The sequence below is a fragment of the Homo sapiens genome, chromosome 12, assembly GCF_000001405.40.
Source record: "Homo sapiens chromosome 12, GRCh38.p14 Primary Assembly".
NCBI classification, from domain to species: Eukaryota; Metazoa; Chordata; class Mammalia; order Primates; family Hominidae; genus Homo; species Homo sapiens.
Window position 1 is genome coordinate 96,064,303 of NC_000012.12, and position 16,880 is coordinate 96,081,182.

At 44.3% G+C, this 16,880-nt stretch overlaps 1 annotated feature.

Moving 5' to 3' along the window:
- Positions 6,955–7,455: an enhancer, noted in NCBI's record as "H3K4me1 hESC enhancer chr12:96465035-96465535 (GRCh37/hg19 assembly coordinates)". NCBI's record gives its function as "activates a minimal SCP1, AML or CMV promoter by ChIP-STARR-seq in naive H9 embryonic stem cells {active_cell/tissue: H9 hESC(naive)}" and the evidence as "EXISTENCE:reporter gene assay evidence [ECO:0000049][PMID:30033119]".

Genomic DNA, 16,880 nt, shown 5'->3' on the forward strand with positions numbered 1-16,880 from the left:
CTCCCTTGCAGTTTGATGTGGCCATATAACTGCATTCTAGACACCTGAGGTGTGAGTGGAAATGATGTCTGCAATTTCAGAGTTCCATCCTTAAAGGGAAGCTGCTTGCCTCTATGTCCTCTTTTCCTTGTCCCCAGGCTGGGACAGGGTTAGGGGAGTAGTGAGGCAGCTTTGACAGGAGGGTGAGGACAGGAAGCTGGGGAAGAGCAGAGCAACCACTGGAAGGAAGCTTCACACTCACTCCCCACCCACTCACTACTCACCCAGAGCAACTTCCCATCCTGCAAACTCCAATCACGGGAAGTATCCTATAGAGGGGTATCCTTTTTAAAGAAAAAAAACCTTTGATACCATATTTTTACTGTACTTTTTCTACGTTTGTATATGTTTAGATATACAAATACCATTGTGTTGCAATTACCTACAGTATTCAGTACAGTAACGTGCTGTTCAGGTTTGCAGCCTAGAGCAATAGGCTACACCATATAGCCTAGGTGTATAGTAGGCTATACCATCTAGGTTTGTGTAAGTACTGAACACTCCATGATGTTTGCACAACGGTCAAATTGACAAGTGACACATATCTTGGAACATATCCCTGTTGTTAAGTGACACTTGACTGTATTTCTATTTGGGGGAACAGAGCATTGGGAAAGAAAACAGAAGGACCCATTGCCTTGAAGGAAGGATGGTAGACGGAATAATGTCCACCCTGGCCTCCCAAAGACGTCCAAGTCCTAATTCCTGGAAATATGAGTATGTTACTTTACTTGGCAAACGGGACTTTGCAGATGTGCTTCAAGTCAGGAAGTTGAGATGGGGAGATTGTCCTGGATGATTTGGGTGGACCCCATCAAATCTCAGGGGGCTCTCTAAGGGAAAGATGAAGGTGGGAGCGTGAGAGCCAGATAAGACACTGTGATGATGGAAGCAGAGGAGAGAGAGAAGATGCTACACTGTGGGCCTTAAAGAGAGAAGAAGGGGCCCTGATCCGAAGAATGCAGCTTCTAGAAGCTGGAAAAGGCAAGGAAATGGAATCTGCCCTAGAACCTCACTAGGAATGAATCGCAGCTGACACCTTGCTTTTAGCTAAGTTAAACCCATTTTGGACTTCTGACCTCCAGACCTATAAAATACTACACTTGTGTTTTTTTAAGCCATCAAATGTGTAGTAATTTGTTAGAGAAGCAATAGGAAATAATAGAGAGTGTGATAGGGTCCCTATGGGGAACGAGTGGCGCACATATAGGACATAACTGACCAAAGTTTAATGAGACACTGTGTTTTACAGAGGCTTGGCCAGGGTTAAAGGCGAACAAACAGGATGAGAAATCACCAAGGCATTAGCAGCAGCAACGAGCCAGCACCTCCCTGAGGCTTGAAGGGCAACGGGAAAGGAAAGGTGTTACTAGAGACCAGTGAGAGGAGTCATGGCAGAGGCCACCCAACAGAAGTAGTGGCCACAAAGGTGGGACTGTGGGTTGAACAGATCCCCAGAGGTGTCTGTTATGCACAGTAAGCTCCAACAGTGAAAAATCATTTATAAAGGGCCGAGGACAGTGGCTTGCACCTGCAATCCCAGCACTTTGGGAGGTCATGGTGGGCAGATTGCTTAAGCCCAGGAGTTCCAGACCAGCCTGGGCAACATGGCAAAACACCATCTCTACTAAAAATTTAAAAACTTAGTTAGGTGTGGTGGCTGGCACCTGTAGTCGCAGCTACTTGGGAGGGTGAGGTAGGCGGATCACTTGAACCTGGGAGGTTGAAGCTGCAGTGAGCTGTAATCATGCCACTGCACTCCAGCCTGGATGACAGAGCAAGACCCTGTCTCAAAAAAAAGAAAAAATTATCAAGGACTTTTGCCTCTAATAAAATATTCACAGTGGTTTCCTTACTTAATTTCTGAGGTCAAACCAGAAAATATTAGCAGCTGACTTAATTCAAGAAGGAGGAGCTTGAGTATACGTACTTGTTGGTGTGTCTTCAACTCTTGTTCTAGATTTTACTTTGTTTTAAATATGTAAAAATGCTTTTAGTGATTACAACTTATGCTTCTTATTTCAACAGATATTTTAAAGGGAAAAATATATAATTGGATCACAGGATATAAAAAGAAATGCAGTTATCTATATGTGCAAAAGCCTAGCTAATTGATAAAAGCTATAAGTTGAGTCCTGCCACTCACCTTGGGGCAATGATTTTTTATTTATTTATTTTATTTTATTATTATTATTTTTTTAGACAGAGTTGCCCAGGCTGGAGTGCAGTGGTGCGATCTGGGCTCACTGCAACCTCCACCTCCCGGGTTCAAGCAATTCTCTGCCTCAGCCTCCCAAGTAGCTGGGATTACAGGGTGCACCACCACACCCAGCTAATTTTTGTATTTATAGTAGACATGGAGTTTCACCATCTTGGCCAGGATGGTTCCGAACTCCTGACCTCGTGATCCACCACTCGGCCTCCCAAAATGCTGGGATTACAAGCATAAGCCACTGCACCACGCCCGGCCAATGACCCATTTTTTTCAGGCAAAGTAGCAATGGGAAAATATAAAGTTTCTCTAGTTTTAATATAGAAGTGGTTAACCTAATCACACAAGCCATACACAGGGTCATTTGGGAGAATGTGCAAGGAGGATTGCGTATTTTTATCTTTTCATAGTTTTCTTCTTGATAAATAAGCTTCTATTTTCAAGCCAAATCTCATCTTGCAATTTCCTGCCAACTTCACTTCTCTACAAAGTTTACCTTTGCTTTTCCCATCTCTGCCCTCAGGCATTTAACAAACACTGTGCCTTTTCATTTTTCCAGATTTAAGTGAAACATTTTGCAGAAATGAGGAATGTGATAACAGCCCCTGAAGCCCTACCTGACAGCATGACATTAATTTGGGCCTGTTTTCTCTCATACTTTTCAATTGCTCCCCAATTTATATTTAATTTGCCACAGGATATAAAAAGAAATATTTCTTTAATTTATATTAAATACATCTACATTAGGAGAGCTAGAGGTTATCTAAGTGAAACTAGCTCGATTATCTAAAAAAAGTCAGAATAAAATAATTATAAGCAAATTGGAAGAACAGCCAACGTTGTTACCAATAATTTCTTAGAGTTTGTTCAATTATTGTTTGTTATACTCTGTTTCCACTTCTTTAGCCAAAATAAGCTCTAAGCAAATTCAAATCTATTTGTATAGATGAAGTCTATGAATTTAACATGATAACTTGAAAAAATGTAAAACTTTGGCTGGGTGTGGTGGCTCACACCTGTAATCCCAGCACTGTGGGAGGCTGTGGCGGGCGGATCACCTAAGGTCGGGAGCTCCAGACCAGCCTGGCCAACATTGTGAAACCCCATCTCTACTAAAAATACAAGCATTAGCGAGGCATGGTGGTGGGCACCTGTAATCCCAGCTACTCAGGAGGCTGAGGCAGGAGAATCGCTTGAACCCAGGAGGCGGAGGTTGCAGTGAGCCAAGATCGTACCATTGCATTCCAGCCTGGGCAACAAGAGCAAAACTCCGTCTCAAAAAAAAAAAAAATTAAAACCCAAATAAATTCATGTGGATCTTACCCATATTTCCCATGATTTAGATAGGAGTTGGTTTTAAGTTTATTTTTCCACTCAATGGGGGAAAGGATTTACTAGGAAAATAATGTAAACAATCTATTTAAGAAGTCAAATGGCTTTTAAGCACTTAAAAAGCTTTGATATTAGCAATTTACCCATAAATATTTTGTTAATTACATAATTTTTTTCTTTTTAGGAAATATTTCTTCTTTTCTTCTTCTTTTGGCTAAGCCTCAGCAGCCAAATTTTTTATTTTACTTTATTTTAGTTTACTTTTTAGAGACAGGGCCTCCCTCTGTCACACACGCTGGAGTGCAGTGGTATGATCATAGCTCACTATAACCACAAACTCCTGGGCTCAAGCCATCCTCCCTCCTCAGCCTCCCGAGTAGGTGGGACTACAGGTGTGCACCACTACACCCAGCTAATTTTTGTAGTTTTTGTAGAGACGGGGTCTTGTCATGTTACCCAGGCTGGCCTCGAACTCCTGGGCTCAAGCAATCCTCCTTCCTCAGCCTCCCAAAATGCTGGGATTATAGGCGTGAGCCACAGCACCAGCCTACCAGGTATGCTTTTAATACATATATATTGAATAAATAAACAAATTAAAGATCATCTGACAGAACCTTCACTGGATAATATTATTTTTTCTTTTCCTTTTTTTAAAAAATAAGGCAGGGTCTCACCGTGTTGCCCAGGCTTGTCTTGAACTTCTGGGCTCAAGTGATCCTCCTGCTTCGGCCTCTCAAAGTGCTGAGATTACAGGACTGAGCCACCACAACCAGCCTTCATTGGATAACATGTTATTTGACATTTCTTCTATCATTGTACATTGATGACTGTTGGTTGCCTGCCCAGCAGCCATTGCCCCCATTACTCCTGTTAGAATAACCCTGATTTTGTGTTTGTCATTTTATTTTATTTTATAGACAAGGTCTCACTCCATCACCCAGGCTGCAATGCAATGTAGTGATCATAGCTCACTGCAACCTGGAACGTCTGGGCTCAAGTGATCCTCCCACTTCAGACTCCTGAGTAGCTGGGACTACAGGTGTGCACCACCATGCCAGGCTAATTATTTTATTTTTTGCAGAGATGGAATCTCACTTCATTTCCCAGGCTGGTCTTGAACTCCTGGACTCAAGCCATCCTCCCGTTTCAGCCCCTCAAGCACTGGGATTACAGGAGTGAGCCCACCACACCTGGCAGCGTCCATCTTTTAAAAACTTGATTCAGGGAAGGGGGCATCCTATTCCTGCTAGAGGGCAAAATCGTGGTTGATGTAAGGTAGTGATTTTCAACTGGAGGTAATTCGGCAATATTTTGCAGTTTTTGTTGCCACAGAGGTAAGCATATTGTGCTACTGGCATCTAGCGGGTAGAGGGCAGGGGTGCGGCTAAACATTCTTCAATGCACAGGACAGCCCCCACAACAAAGAGAACCATCCAGTCCAAAATGTCAATGGTGCTGAGGTTGAGAACCCTGACCTAAACCAGTCCTGGTGGTCTCATTCCCTAGCTGTTAGTGGTTTAGATCCCATGATGTTAAGTAATTCTGACCAATGAGACGTGAGCAGAAATTGACAAGAGGAGTATGGCAGAGAATGTTAATTTCTCCCTACATTCACTTTACCTTTCTTTTCAGCAGAAGTTACATTCAGTGTTAGCTAGGCGCATGCCCAATTACAGACTATAATTCCCAGCCTCCATCGTTGCAAGGTGTGGCCAAGTTTTGGCTAATGGGATGTGAGAAAAAAATAATGAGTCTAATTTCTAGACCATGTTTTTAAGAAGGAGAATGCTTGTTCTTTACTTTCTCTCTTAATCCCTTTCTGCACACTGGGTGGTACTGCTAATCCAGCTTCAAGCAAGCACATGACTCCAGAGAATGGCAGAGCAAGACAGAAAGACTTACATACATTGGGACTGATACATGAAAAGAAAATAAATTGCTTTCTTCTTTGAACCATCGTATTTTTTAGTTTTTTTGTTTTAGCAGTTTAAGCTGTATGTATATGAGGTACTCCTGGGGAAGGTTTTTTCCTCTGTGATCACACACACACATACACACACACACACACACACACACACGGAGGGAATATTCATCTAAAGGATGTTGTAGGATTTGTGTGAGATGGCTGGAACCATGGCTGCTATCTTGTGACCATGAGGGGAGGTACCTGGTGGTTCAAAACTGCCCTGCTAAGTGAGAACGGAATAGGAAGGTTGTAAACAGCCCAAATCTTTCTTAACCTTGTTAAGCCATTGAGTTGACGAACTTTGCATCTGTCCTGTCTCAGGACTTCTTGTTAAGCAAGATGGTATATTTTTCATATCGTTTAAATATTTGGCCTTTAAATTTTCAGTAATAGTCCTTACAGTGATGGCTTTCAGACAGAAAATTAAAAATTTTAAAAAGTGCTATCCTAACTGATTCTCTCAATGTATTCAAGTGTAAAGAAATTACATGTCTAACCTCTCATGGAATTAGAGGGAAAAAATTTCATGTTATTTTAAGTATGTTCAGTTCTTTTATTAACTCATATTGGTTTCCCCCCTACTCCTTACCCTTGCAACCAAGATAATTTGCATCTAAGAGGTTTTATTCTGTTTCCACTGATATGTTTAGAAATTACTATATCTGAGGTGGGTATATTGGGAAAACATACACTACCACTCCTTTGCAGAAATGAGGGCTTATTGCAGCAGCTACTCGCCCTTGCAATGCTTCCTGCTTGGAAACTCGAAGGACTACATTGAGCAGGTGGAATAAAGTTGAATCGAAGGTTCAACTTACAAGCAGTCAGGAGGAGGTCTGCCCTGAAGCACTGTGCAGACTGGGACCTGCAGCAGGGCTGGGAGGGGGAGTGTCGAGGAAATGCCTTTTGCATGTCAATGGAGCCCCGTTGCTGTTCTGTGCTGCACAGCCACATGAGGTCATCCCAGATTAGAGGGTGCCCATGTCCAGGATCTTAAACCAATTACTTCCATCTCCATTGCTTCCTCTAAAGCCTCACTCTTAGTTCTACACAGTAATACTGCCTGGAAACTCCCCAAGGCCACCAAGCTCATACTAACAGGTTTGTGATGTGGGCAAACTCCTTACATGATCTCAAAATGAAAGAAGAGGCTGTTCACTGGAGGCAATAGCAAATCCCCTTTGTTCCTCTCTTGGCAGATGAGGGCCTTCGCTCTCTCCCTAAGGGTTCCGCCTGTCACCATCTGTGCACCCACTGTGGAAGGGCCAGCGCTAAGGTGAATTTCCATTTACTTCCTGCCAGCAGATGGCTCCTCCTTTTGGTCTCATCTTGAATTGTTTGCCAGACCAGCCAATTAGTCTCCTCACCCTTCCTGAAGCGTCCCAGGGAAGCAATATCATCACCAGCAGCCTATCATTATACCACGTCTTCTAAGCACCGTGATTCTAAATGCCTGCCGTGGAACAGAAGCTCATTCGCACATGGCTCTTTAACCCTTCCTTGAAAGACCTCAATTCAACATTCTCTCTCTCGCTCACACACACACACACACACACACAAATGCACACTCACACACAGTACCTACAACCTGATCCAAGATAGGAAACAAAATGACAGTATGCGGCATTCAATAATAAATTTAAAAATAAGACATAATTTCAGACAGAATGCAGAAGGAAAAACACAGTAACTATATTTTCTGATCCCCACTGAGGACACAATAAAAACTTTTTTTTAGGCCAGGCACGGTGGCTCACGTGTGTAACCCCAGCACTGTGGGAGGCCGAGGCGGGCGGATCACGAGGTCAGGAGGTTGAGACCATCCTGACTAACATGGTGAAACCCTGTCTCTACTAAAAATACAAAAATTAGCCTGACGTAGTGGCGTGTGCCTGTAATCCCAGCTACTTGGGAGGCTGAGGCAGGAGAATCTCTTGAACCAGGGAGTTAGAGGTTGAAATGAGCCGAGATCGCACCACTGCACTCCAGCCTGGCGACAGAGCAAGACTCCATCACAAAAAAAATAATGATACAAAAAAATTAATTAAATAAATAAAAATTAAAAATAAAAAAAAGTGGAGGGTTTTTTTTTTTTTTTTTTTTTGACAGAGTCTTGCTCTGTCGCCAGGCTGGAGTGCAGTGGCGCAATCTCGGCTCACTGCAACCTCCAACTCTCTGGTTCAAGAGATTCTCCTGCCTCAGCCTCCCGAGTAGCTGGGATTACAGGCACACACTACCACGTCCTGCTAATTTTTGTATTTTTAGTAGAGTCGGGTTTTACCATGTTGGCCAGGCTGGTCTTGATCTCCTGACCTCGTGATCCTCCCACCTCAGCCTCCTAAAGTTCTGGGATTACGGGAATGAGCCACTGCATCCGGCCAAAACTTTTTTTTTTTTTACCTTGTGGATTTGTTCATATGAAAGAAATCTTTTAAGGATATAAAATCAAATTGCACTGAGTTACATTTAACAAAGTATCTTTATCAGAAAAGAGTATATAGAATGACACTGGCAGGATTCTTCATCCCCGCAACCCAGGATGAATGATGACTTTCCAGGCTAGGCCAAGGAGATTCTCCCAGCGCTATTCTTAGAAACATCAACAAGGCCCTTGTGCACTTGTTTTAGGGTTTTTCATCTTCAGACATTCCTGCCTGATGCCTAAAGAAGACATATTATTCAGGGCATCCCATTTGAATACTGTATCTGCTCTGATGCTTGAGCAAAGTGTCTGTAAAGCTAGACAGAGGGGACAACTGCTTCCATCCATGGGGCAAGGGAGCAATGATGAGATGATGGAGGTTAAAGATATTTGTGAGGCAGACACAGCATCTGTGCAGAGGGGTAGAGGTATTTGTTTTTCCACTTTTCTGCTCTTGTTACCCTAACTTCCTTGTGTTCTGTGATTATTGCACATGAGCTGGAGTAGCAGGGGAGGTTCAGTTCCTTTTGGTGGTTGAGGTGGCAGGTAAGGAGGCATGGACACAGGACGAACCCCACTTTTGGGCAACCGCCACCCTGAGGCAAGGGTGGGAAAAGCTCACTTTCCCATAAATAATCACTGGGCTGTTGTCCTTCAGTATAAGTGAATATAAGCAAAGCCCCAAGAACAGTGCCTGGCACATAAAATGCAGTAGCTCAGGGTGGGCTATAACCACTTGCATCTTCTACAGCAGTGCCTTGTGCCAGCATGCCCTCAATAAACATTTGTTCAGTGAAGGACTGTACAGCTCTGTGCCACCTGGCAGCTCCAACTGTCCCAGTGGATCTTCCTCTTCCTTTGTTCTTTTCCTTGCAAACTTTGCAATAAAGGGGGCATTGGCCCAACAGTTAACTCCCAAATCTTGAACAAAGAGGATTACCCCTGCAACTCTGTTCCAAACTGGGAAGCTTCTGGCTTTGTGGTGAGCTAGGGACTGCTGAAAACAACTAGAGATTAAAAGAAGCTGGAACCAGCTGGAGAATAAAGAAAACTGCTGCAAGCAAGTCACTGCAGGAAGTACCAGTGGTCTCCAAAAATGCAGTTGCACCAGATTTTACATACAATAAGGAGGATTGGTCTCTCTAGACAGGAGAGAGTCAAGTGTTCCTCTGAGAAGGAACCAACTCCTGTAAATCAGGAAATCTCAGGCTCTCACTGGCCAAGGGGCAATGGGACACCTCCCCAAGGTGATTCATCGGCTCCCTCTGAACCCAGAAGCTCAAGCCCATTGTGCTCCTTTTTGTAGACTCTTCTCTTACCCTAGTCCCCAAGAATGTGCTCTGTGAGCAGGTTACACCCTTCACAAGACCCTTTCATGCCCTGTGACTCCCTTCCCCATTGTTTGCATAGTCTGGCAGCTTCTGCCACTTTCCCTGGTAAGCCCTGCCTTAAAGTGAACCCTCTTCTGTCAATCACCAGGGACTCATTTCATGCACACACCTGTCTTTCTGGAGCCGTTTAATCTATAGCCTTCAATCCTATAAACCAGTGAGAGATCTGCAATTAGGTTTGGAAACCAGTCTTGTCCACTGACTCAACTCAAGAATTGCTCTTTCCATTTCTCTCATTCCCCTCACTTCAGCCTCACAAGGGGCAGTTTGAGGGAGCCTCTCTATTTCTAAAGAGACAAATTTGAAATTAAATTTGCTTAATTAAAAATGTGAAAATTTAAAATTAAATTTAAATTGCTGACAGCCAACTGCTTCATGGGTACAGGGTTTTCTCTAGGGGCGAAGAAAATGCTTTGTAACCACATAGAGGTGGAAGTTGCACAATACTGTGAATGTACCAAATGCCACTGAATTGTACACTTTAAAATGGTTAATTTGGCCAGGCACGGTGGCTCACGCCTGTAATCCTAGCACTTTGGGAAGCCAAGGCGGGCAGATTGCTTGAGGTCAGGAGTTCAAGACCAGACTGGCCAACATGGTGAAACCCCATGTCTACTAAAAATACAAAAATTAGCCTGGCATGGTGGCACGTGCCTGTAATCCCAGCTACTCGGGAGGCTGAGGCAGGAGAATCACTGGAAACCAGGAGGCAGTGAGCTGAGATTGCACCACTGCACTCCAGCCTGGGCAACAGAGTGAGTGAGACTCTGTCTCAGAAAAAAAAAAAATAAGGTTAATTTTATGTTATGTGAATTTCACCTCAATTAAAAAAATTAAATCACTTTCCCCACCAAATATTTGCCCAGATGCTCAGCAAACAGGTTCAGGGAAATGCTCTGAATGGTGGAATGAGGAAATACCAAGGAGGAGCTGATGGGGTTTGGTCTCCTCACAGCCCCATTGCAGAGGCTGAGAGGGCAACAAGGAAGGGAGAGGAAGAACAGCCCGAGCCACCCACCTAGCAACAGATTCTGAACAGGAGAGAAAGTGTGTGGACTGGGGTGGGCTTCATCAGCTTGCCATTGAGAATAGAACTATCTGACATTTACCTATTACAGAACAACAACATTACTTTTTTTGCGGAGTCCCTTTGGTTGGGTTGATGACAACTGGCCATTCAGTTTCCCTGCATTAAGACGTTCATCCCATAAGCAAACAATGCTTTGAGTCTGGCAGCCAGCCCCTAGAAGAGTTCAAAGACTAGTGAATAAGACGTCAGCATTCACAGCGGGTTTCCTTTCACCTCTGCCTTCAGTAGAAACTTCTGGAGGCAGGCAAGGCACGATGGCTCACGCCTGTAATCCCAGCACTTTGGGAGGCTGAGGCAGGCAGATCACGAGGTCAAGAGATCGAGACCATCCTGGCCAACACAGTGAAACCCCATGTCTACTAAAAATACAAAAAAAATTAGCTGGGTGTAATGGTGCGCGCCTGTAGTCCCAGCTACTCGGGAGGCTGAGGCAGGAGAATTCCTTGAACCCGGGAGGCAGAGGTTGCAGTGAGCTAAGATCAAGTCACTCCAGCCTGGTGACAGAGCGAGACTCTGTCTCAAAAAAAAAAAAAAAAGAAAAGATAAAGAAACTTCCGGAGGCATTCTGTACCTGGGGTGGGGTAGTCAGAGAAAATAGATGATGCTTTGTTAAATGTAAGTTTTAGATAAAGAACAAGTACTTTTGAAAATAAATTGTAATTGACCAGTAAAAATGTATATATTTATGGTGTACAACTTGATATTTTGAAATATGTATACATTGTGGAAAGGATAAATTGAGATAACATATACATTACCTCACATACTTTTTTTTGTGGTGAGAACACTGAAAATCTATTCTCTTAGTGATTTTTAAGTATATAATATATTGTTATCAATTATAGTCATTGTTTGTACAATAGATCTCTTGGACTTATTCCTTTTATTGAACTCAAATTTTGTATCCTTTGGCCAACATCTCCCCAAACCCATTCTTTGGTAACCACCATTCAACTCTGTTTTAATGAGTTGGGCTGTTTTAGATTCCACACAGAAGTGAGATCACGTGGTTTTGGTCTTGCTGTGCCTGGCTTATTTTACTTAGCACAATGTCCTCCAGGTTCATTCGTGTTGTCACAAGTGACATAATTTTCCTCTTTTTATTTTAAGGCTGAATAGTATTCCATTGTATATATACATTTTCTTTATCCATACATCCATGATGGACACTTACTTTAATTCCATATCTTGGTTACTGTGAATAATGCTGCAATGAACATGAGACACAGATATCTCTTTGACATACTGACTTCATTTCCTTTGGATATACAATCAGTAGTGGGTAGCTGGATTGCACGTGCCTTCATCCATTTGTCCTGCTACCACAAAATACCTGACACTGGGTAATTGATTAAGAACAGAAATGTATTTTCTCTTTCTTTTCTTTCTTTTTCTTTTTTTTTTTTTTTTGAGATGGAGTCTCGCTCAGTCGCCCAGGCTGGAGTGCAGTGGTGCAATCTCTGCTCACTGCAAGCTCCACGTCCCGGGTTCATGCCATTCTCCTGCCTCAGCCTCCTGAGTAGCTAGGACTACAGGCGCCCGCCACCACGCCCAGCTAATTTTTTTTTTTTTTTTTTTTTTTTTTTTTTAGTGGAGACGGGGTTTCACTGTGTTAGCCAGAATGGTCTCGATCTCCTGACCTCGTGATCCACCTGCCTCAGACTCCCAAGGTGCTGGGATTACAGGCGTGAGCCACCGCTCCTGGCCAGAAATGTATTTTCTCACAGTTGAAGAAGCTCAGAAGTCCAAGATCAAGGCTCCAGCATTTGGTATCTGATGAGGACTGCTCTCTGCTTCCACAATCACGTCTTGTTGCTGTGTCCTTGTGGCAGAAGGAAGATGAGAGTAAAGCCTCCCCCTCAAGCCCTTTTATAATGGCCTGAATCTCATCCATGAAGGTGGGGCCCTCATGACTTAATCACTCCCCAAATGGTCCCACCTCTTGATATCACCACCATGGGGATGAAGTTTCAACATGAATTTTGGAGGGGACATATTCAAACCATAGCAATATGCCAGTTCCATTTTTAATTTTTTGAGACACCTCCATACTCATTTCCATAGTGGCTATACTAATTTACATTCTCACCAACATCATACAAGGAAGAACAAATACTTTGTAAGCATAAGTATGTCCTCCAATGCAATGTTTGGGACATAGTTATCCTTAAAAAAAAAAGTGTTCCTCCTTTATTTTAAATTCAAACTTAATGGAACACCCTGAATTTTGATTAGCCAAATCTGGCATCTCTGAAATTTTAGAAATTTCTACTGATGGATTTTCAGACTTTGTGGGTTTGGAGAACACTTTGTGTCCTCTGGGACATGCACCGCCCCACCAGCCTTTTCCTCTGTGGAATACTCAGTTTCCCAAATGACTGTGCAGCTTCAAATACCACAAGCCTCAAGTTTGTAACAAATGGCCTCAGGCCTGGTTTTATTTGCTGATACCCTGCTGGTGGCAGCGGTAGCCCCTGCAATTTACACCAGGTGGGAAACGGGCTGCAGCATCCAACCTTCCTAATGGAAACAGGCTGTGATCCAATGGAGTGTGAAAGGTGCTGAGCTCCACCCACTCCTCAGCAACCCGGTTCCTTAGGAAGAGCTCTCTGCGGGCAGGACCTGGTTCTGGGAGAAAACTTCCCGGAGTTGCTCAGAAGTTGGCCCTTCTGGATTTTGACATTTCCTCCCACCTTTGTTCTCCTGGGTTTTCTCAGGCCAAGGAGGGCTATGTGAGGAAGGAGTCAGCCCACAGCAGGGAGATCTTTTATAAACGGGAACCCAACAAGGCCAGATTATATGCCCATGGTGCCAAACTGGACTTTTAAATTATTATTATTATTATTATTATTAGAGACAGTGTCTTGTTCTGTCACCCAGGCTGGAGTGCAGTGGTGACATGATGGCTCATTGCAGCCTCAACTTCTTGGGCTCAAGCGATCCTCCCACCTCAGCCTCCTGAGTAGCTGGTACTACAGACTCGTGCCACCACACCTGCATGATTTTTAAATTTTTTGGAGAGATAGGGTCTTGCTATGTTGTCCAGGCTGATCTTGAACTCTTGGGCTCAAGTGATCCTCCTGCCTCAGCCTCCCAAAGCATTGGCATTACAGGTGTAAGCCACTGCGCCTGGCCTGGACAACTATTATTAATGCCCACTTGCCTCTGTTAAGACTTAAACTCAAATACTGGACGAAAGGAAGAAAAGAACTCTCTGTTGACTTCTAACCCTGGGAAATGACTGGCAAGAATGGTAATAAACAGCCCCTTTCCACTCCTCAAGTCCACCAGTCAGTTCCTTTGCTTCATTTACTTAAAGATGTAAAGGAGTTGGGGGGAAAAAAAAAGAGGGGGGGCTTGATCCTCATGGTGAGAACCACACACCCACACCCATCCTACCCTGCGAAGTTCAAACAACTGTGCTATAGGCTGGGACGGCAGGCTCGTTATGCATGTCTCCCTGGGCGGAGGCAGTCTGCCAGACCCCCGAAACACACAATACTTTGGCTCTTGGTCAAAAACACCAACATTCATTGCTGACAATATCCCCACCTACCACCGGTCCCTAGCCACCCCTTCCTGGAAAATGTGATGGAGGAGGGAGAGTCGGCCAACTCCAACACCACCTGGCCCTCAGCAGCAGACCTGGACGCTGGCCCGGAAGCAGCCCTGGCCCGTCCGTGGACAGCTCCTCGGGGGTGTGCATGGAGCAGCATATCCTTCTTCTCACAGCTTCAGCTTCCTGCAAGGCTGCGGAGTCACCTCTGTTGGCTTGGACCTCTCTGACCTCAGATGACATGGGAAACGGAGGCCAGTGGGTGAAATTGGGAGGCTGAGCTGTGATGTGCCACTATCCGGCATAGGGTGGGACACATTGTCCCTGAAAAGGGAGGCTAACTTCCCACCCCACCCAGCCACAGCACAGCCTTTCCAGGGGGAACCAACCCACCCCCTCTCCCCGTCTGGCTCTGAAAATGTGTGCCACATACTGTAGCCCAGTTGCTGTCGGAGGCAATTTGAACTCAACCAAGGAGCTGACACTCAGTTCTTTGTCTACTGCTTTAGGAAGTCTTAACTCCCTTTAGAATAGCTGGGTTTTGGAGGCTTTTTGGGGAGGGGACTGATAGATATAAAAGCATACTTTCAGAGGTTTGCTTACTAAACAATGTCATGCTGAAAACTCACAGTGATCCCAGCAGCCGCTAACTGAAATCATACACTCGAATCAATTTTTGCTAATCCAGAAATCTGGCAGACTTGTCCAGATCCCAAAGGAATAAGAATATAAATGTAATTTGGCTCATTCAACATGGTCCTTAAAAAGACTAAACAAAACAACCACTTATGTAGTAGGAGAACCTAATAATAAGACAGGCCTTCCTTCTTTGGTAGACTCAGTAACTGAATTTTCCTCTTGCACACAACTGTTTGGGACCATTAAGATTACCAAAGTGACAGAGAGAGACTCTATTTCTTCTCAGCTTTTCTGAGAACCTTTTTGGAGGGTCTCTTATGTATTAATATACCTCTGTCAAATTTCTCCTCAGCCTGGGGCCCCCTTCGGTGTTGCTCTCCCCCCGAGGAACACTCCAGGCTTCAGCTTAAATGTTCCTTCCTCAGAGAAACTTTTCCTGACCACCCCCTTCAACCATGGCTTAGCTTCTCCTGTTACGATTTTTTTTTTTAGATGGAGTCTCGCTCTGTCACCTAGGCTGGAGTGTAGTGGTACAAACTCAGCTCACTGCAACCTCTGCCTCCCGGGTTCAAGAGATTCTCCTGCCTCAGCCTCCTGAGTAGCTGGGATTACAGGCACGCACCACCACGCCCGGCTAATTTTTGTATTTTTAGTAGAGACGAGGTTTCACCATGTTGGTCAGGGTGGTCTCAAACTCCTGACCTCATGATCCACCCACCTTGGATTCCTAAAGTGTTGGAATTACAGGCCTGAGCCACCACGCCCAGCCTTCCTTTTTTTTCTTTTCTTTTTTTTTTTTTTTTTTGAGATAGAGTCTCACTATGTCACCCAGACTGGAGAGCAGTGGCACGATCTTGACTCACTGCAGCCTCAGCCTCCTGGGCTCAAGTGATTCTCTCATCTCAGCCTCAGTAGCATGGACTACAGACGCACTCCACCATGCCCAGCTAATTTCTGTATTTTCTGTAGACTCAGGATATCGCCATATTGCCTAGGTTGGTCTCGAATTCCCAAGCTCAGGAGATCCACCTGCCTCGGCCTCCCAAAGTGCTGGGATTACAAACACGAGCCACCACGTCCAGTCCACCTGTTACGATTTCTTGTTGTTCTTGTTACTGTTGGAGCACTTAACTACTAATGACATTTTCATCTTTAATTGTGTGATGATGCATTTAATGTATGCCTCCTTTCTAGACTATAAGCTCCATAAGAGCAATGTTATGGGTCAAGTTATTCCCCCAGCCTCCAAAAAAGATGTTAAAATCCTAACCCCTGGTACCTCAGAACATAACCATAGTTGGAAGTAGGGCCATTGCAAATGTAATTAGTTCAGATGAGGTCATACAGCAGAAGAGTGAGCACCTAGCCCAATATGACCAGTGTCTTTATAAGAAGACAGCCTTGCTGGGCACAGTGGCTCACACCTGTAATCCCAGCACTTTGGGAGGCCGAGGCAGGTGGATCACCTGAGGTCAAGAGTTCGAGACCTGCCTGACCAACATGGTGAAACCCTGTCTCTACTAAAAATACAAAAATTAGCTGGGCGTGGTGGTGTGCACCTGTAATCTTAGCTACTCAGGAGGCTGAGGCAGGAGAATCGCTTGAACCCGGGAGGTGGAGTCTGCAGTGAGCCAAGATCGCGCCACTGCACTCCAGCCTGGGCAACAAGAACGAAACTCCATCTCAGGAAAACAAACAAACAAACAAACAAACAAAAAAACCGACAGACTTGTGAAGATGCAGACATGTAGGGAGAATGCCATGTCATGACAAAGACAGAGACTGGAGTTACATAGTTGCAAGACAAGAAAAAGCAACAAAAGTTAGGAAGAGGCAGGAAAGATTCTCCTATGGCTTTCAGTGGGAGCATGGCACTGCCAACACCTTAGTCTTGTATTTCTACTCTCCAGAACTGTGAGACAATACATTTCTGTTGTTTTAAGCCACCCAGTTTATGGTACTTTGTTATAGCAGCTCTAGGAAATTAGAAAAAGCAAGGATGGTGTCTATTTTGTTCACTGCTGTACCCTCAGCATCTAACCCAGTGCCTAGCATGCAGTAGGTGCTCAATAAATATTTGTGAATGAATGAACAACAGCCTTGAGGATTCACCTTTGGAAAAACAAATCATTTCACCTTGGTTGCTGACTGTTCCTATGAGCCATTCACATGGTCTTGGTTTTTTTTGTTTTGTTTTGTTTTGTTTTTTTGAGACGGAGTCTTGCTCTTTCGC